Genomic DNA, 5,425 nt, shown 5'->3' on the forward strand with positions numbered 1-5,425 from the left:
GCAAAATGAAAGAGGAGTTGAAAATTTCATTAGGAACATGGAGAAAAATTATAGGAGAGAAAAAAGCTTTAAATCTATATTTTCAAATATTTTAAATAATAGGAAAAATGATATTTATAGAAAATGGACAATGGGATCCCTTATGTGTAAGAGTTTGGTAAATAAAGAGGAAAATGGAGGAAACTGAATATTCAAACATATTTTTCTGAAATAATGGGAGATAAATTTCTGGACTTCAAGAGTGTGCTGTGTATAGTAAATAGTTTGCAAAGATGGGCACCAAGTGCTACTCCCTGGTACTCCTCAGTTTCATTCGTAGACTGTTTTTCCTGTTACCGAAATTGAAGTTTACTTTGGGACTGGCTTCTACTAATAAGATGTGGTAGAAGTGACATTCTGGGACATCCATGTCAAGGCCTGAGGAGGCCTAACAGTTTTTACTTTAGTAACACCATCTCAACGAAGACTTCCTTTCCTGAACTCTCGGATTTTCCTAACACTCAGCATCTACATGAATTGCATATATTTTGAATTCAGTAATCATTACATTGCAGTAGTCTGCTGCCTAGACCTGAAAAAGTCATTTTAAGATTTTTGTCAAATTATTGTATGGATTGATTCATCAATGAAATAACTGCATAGAGGTAGTAGTGATCACCACTGGAGAGAATAACCCCAACAAAGAGACTACAAAGAAAAATTGTGATAGCAATGAATAATCTATATTTAGAGGATAAAAAGTAGCCTGGTAAGTAATTGGGGCAGTTGCTCTGGAGGTCCTTCTTGTTGCTATTAAGTAGATCTTGTATTAGTACGCATGTATTTAAAAATATTGCTGCACTCACAAAGAACGATTAAAAATGAACTAAGTCTAAATAAGAATGGGAAAAAATGGAATAAAGAAAATTAGCATTGTGCTGGTTCCAATGATAATACCCAATTCTAGCCCTAGATTGAAGAGTCTACGACAAGGTACTGCTGCCAAGTTGGGGAGGTAAACATGGAACTCCAAAATTAAGCCAAGTGTCTCAAATAGGGAAAATGAAACACAAATTATTAAAGAATAAAGAAAGAAACTGTACTACTGTCCCTCAGGATTCTCACAGATTGCATTTACTTAAATATGAGTTTTCATTTTTTAGAAAAATCACCAAAGAGTTAATAACAACTTCCTGAAATCTATTTTATTCTCTGCCTTTCAGCCTATGCATCTCAATTTTTCCTTCAGTCTTTAAATAATGAACTGATTTCCTCTAAGGAAAATAATATGTTATATATATAAAATCTATATTATAATGATATGTATAATATAATAAAATCATATTATAATGACATAACATATTAAATTATAATAATATGAATGATATAATATATAATATAGTACATATTAAGTATAATATATTATATTATATTATATTTAATATAATGTACTCAATATTTATTGAAATATATAATGTTTATTAAATATATATATCATATATAAATATATATTCATCTAGGTTATGTGTCTCTCTATGCAAGGAATAATCAAGCCTAATATGTATTTCTTGGTTCATATTGTTACCTGGTGACTGGCCATTTCCCAGCCTGAATCATCACACTCCTCATTTTGACATTACCAAACCATTCATTCATTTATTCAATAAGTAGTTATTAGGCAATAAGTATTATCTGCCAGATCCAATGCATCAAGAAGTGGATACAAAGATAAACTATACAAATATGATCTCTGTTGCACTAGTCAGGTACAAGCTAAGCTTCTGTTAACAAAGAAACCCCAAAGTATAATGAAATAAATAAGCAAATGTGCATTTCTATCCTGTATGTTTGTGGATTGGTAGGGCCATGCCCCACACTTATAGGCCCGAGAAGTCTGCTCCAATTTTTGCTATACTACAGCCAGAAGAAAGGGAGAAGGGATCATGGGACTTTATGGACAATCATAAACAAGGAAAAGACCTGAAAGGATCATACATACATCTACTCCCATCTCTTTCATCAATGTGTAGTCATGTGGCCACCCGGCTGCAAGAAGCCACCTAGCTGCAAGAGGGATGGAAAATGTGGTCTTTAGCTGGGTGGCTCTGTGCTCAGCTAAAAGCCCACGATATGTAAGTGAAGAAGGGTGGATATTGGGGGAGCAGCAGTGGTCTGCCACACCTGTTTTCACTCATCCTATATACCCCATGATAACTAACATACAAGAGATAGATAGTGAGCTATGCCTTTAATAAAAACAGATTTTGGGAGTCATGGATGTACCCGGATGAAATTCACTTATGCTGAGACTCCTAGGATATTTAAGAATTAGTTAGAGAAAAAGGCACAGTGAAGGAGGGCTCCAGGTAGAAGGAAGAGTGTTCAAAGACCAGATGAGGGTAAGCATGGTGATTCATGGAAAGTTTATCTGAGTTCCAAATAGGTCTCCAGTGCCTCATAATCCCTAGCAGTACAGACACTCAAAATGTATGTAATGAATAAAAAAATGAATAATCCATTGAGTTCAAATACCACTTCTTCTATAGTATTTTTGACGGATGATTTTCTACTCTTTGAAAGCTTCTAGTGATAAAATGTTAATAAAGATACTATGTATTTATTTATTCTGCCAGTCAGTCAATCATTTAGTCAGCTAGCATTTATTAAGTATCTACTATTGTAAATCTCTAAAAACAAAACAATGAACCAAAAAGACAGCTCCTATTCAAATTATAGTCTATTAGTGGAAGGGGAGAATAAAATTTAGTCAAATAATTACAAAGTATAAAATCGATACTGAAATCAAAAATGGTAGGTGGTGTTATGAGAACCTTATCTAGGATTTGGTCAAGCCAAAAAATGCTTCCCTGAAGATATAATTAAAAGGCACTCTGTAGGATATGCAGGAATTAGCTACTGAAAAAGGAAGGGAAACAATACTTGAGAAGACTGCCAAGTGGAGTCTTGGTGTCAAAAAAGAGATGAAGAGAAGACTGGTTTGGTTAGATTGGGGCTGGAGAAATAAGCAGAAAGCAAATCAACTGTTGGGTTATAACCATTAATAGATTTGTTAGAATTTCAGATCTCACCAAATATCCATGTTTTCTTTTCCCACATACATATGGATCTGGTCATGTGAGCAATTCTCACTGAAGGACAGTGAGCAGAGAACTTCTATCTAAGTCAGTCAACAACAGGTGTACCTTCTCCACTCTCTCTTTCATCCCGACACCTGGAAACAAAGCACTCTGACATCATGGGGTAGCATGAGGAAACTAGCTTGGGTCTCAAAGCCACTGCTCATAGGAAGGCACTGATTTATGCTTCCACTCAGTCAATTCTGCTCTCTTTGGCTTAGAAAATTCTTCTGTCCCTTGTCAACTCATTGTCCTCTTGTACCCATCCATTTATCTCCCTTGGAGGAGGTTGCCCCATCAGTAATAATTTCATTGCTTTGTGGTATCAGTGCCCTGGACCTTGCTCCTGTCTTCTCCTCCACTGAGGATACAAATTATGACGATGGCAAACAGTATTATAGACATTCACATAAAAGTCCTCACAATAGAATATAATAGTGAGGTGAAGGGAGCACATTCTTAACCCAGAATGCATGACTTAAATCCTACCTTTTGTAACTGACCTTGCTTTGACACATTCAGCCAGTAACTTAACCTTTCTAGGTCTCAATATTCTCACTTGAAAAATATCGACAATAAAAATACTTAGTTGTATAGTTGATGTAAAGTCCTTAGTATACAGTACCTGGCACGTCATAAGCTATCAGTACATTTTATTAATAGCTATTACTATACTTTTCATTATTAGACATTAGTTAAAAAGTAATATAATAATAACACAACCAAAACAAACAAAAACCCCCTCATAACTAAAGGTACTTTTCCTTTCTTTTTCTTTGAAGTACAAGACCTCAACATTTTCTGGATAAGTATTAATCTGGATTGGAATATGAGTTCTTTATTTTAGGGTTTCTCTTGGTTATTTGCAGAAAAATTGCCCATTTTGACATTTTTGGTATTCATTTAAATTCAGATTATTTACTCTTTGTATATAACTGAGTTACTTCTTCCCAGTAAACCTTCTAAAGGCCTGTCACTGGTGAATTATTGATGCAGTGATAGCCTTTCTATTTGTGTGACTTTTTTTCTCTGCTTTGCATCTTGCGTTCCTCACATCCCTTTGGCCTACAGTTTAATTGAAATAGACTTTGTCCTATCCTGGCTTTTTTAGGAAAAACAGATGCCCACCTGAGTTTGAGAGATGAAGATATGCTGACACTAAATTTGCAAAGCTGTGTAGCTACCTTTTCTACCACTTCAACTTAAAGTAGTTGTTTTGTGTTTGCAATTTGGCCTAAAGCTCAATAGGAACACAGAAGGGGAAGTGATTTTTCTGAGATGGTCTGGGGGAACGAGTAGGGAAAACTTCAGGAAAAGAAATGACATTTGAAATATGATTAGAATTTTCTCAAGAAGAGAGGGAGGTACATTCCAGACAAAAGGTCACTAGGATGCCCCTACCTCTCTCTGTAGCTGAGGCTTCCCTCTGGTTGCCAGGGTAATGTTTTGAAGGCAAACACCAGCCTGGGTCACACAATCTTAGGAAACTTTATTGACCTCAGGATATACACAGGCAACACGAAAGTAAGCAGTGTAATATCTCAAGCTCATCACAAAGGAAACCACTTTCACAAAAGTTTACAGGGGTTAAGGGCCCCTCCACATTACAGCAGCTGTCACAGTTCCCTCCCTATTCAGCAGCCTTCTGTGATAACCATAGCAACCCATAGCCCACTGTTAGCAGTGTGACCTGTCTGAGTAGAGGGAGGGCAAACCTCCAGTCGACCACAGCTCCCTCTTCTGGGAGATTTCATCTAGTGCTGTCACGGGAACTAATGATAACAAAATAGAGAACATTTGGAGTTTTTATTAAATACTATTAGGTCTCAGGTAGTTCTTATCTCCTTTATACCTAATAACACATACCTGAATTATAGAATATTATCATCCCATGTGTGAGAAAGGCCTTACGATGGCGAATATTCAAATATCAATGGAGTGAACTACTTTGGCCCTTTACCTTACTAGGAAAAGCCATGAGGAAAACATTCTAAACCATTTTCTAAATCTAGCCTGTGTGTCTTTCTGCTTGTTTTCCTCTCTTGCTTAGTTGTTTTCAAATGTGCTCTACAAAGCTTTCTGAGTTTCTTGAAGCCCCCTCCAGGCCTGCTGGGGGTGGGTGATGAGGATGGGAGAATGCCAATGAGAAACTAGTGAGCCAGGAATTATAAAGTGAATAAGTCTACAAAGATAGGAGAAAAGTAAATGACAAAAACGCTCTGCATACCATATAAAGGAATTATTTTAGGTTCCTTAACTTCCTGCTCACCACTAAGCTGATTGTTTTCTGAAGAAAAAAACATAATGCT

General features: G+C 36.1%; 1 annotated feature.

Annotated features, from left to right (window-relative positions):
- Positions 4,661–4,780: a silencer, noted in NCBI's record as "silent region_1667". NCBI's record gives its function as "represses an Ori minimal core promoter by ATAC-STARR-seq in GM12878 lymphoblastoid cells {active_cell/tissue: GM12878}" and the evidence as "EXISTENCE:reporter gene assay evidence [ECO:0000049][PMID:35858748]".

This window comes from Homo sapiens, chromosome 1 (assembly GCF_000001405.40).
Source record: "Homo sapiens chromosome 1, GRCh38.p14 Primary Assembly".
Taxonomy (NCBI): Eukaryota; Metazoa; Chordata; class Mammalia; order Primates; family Hominidae; genus Homo; species Homo sapiens.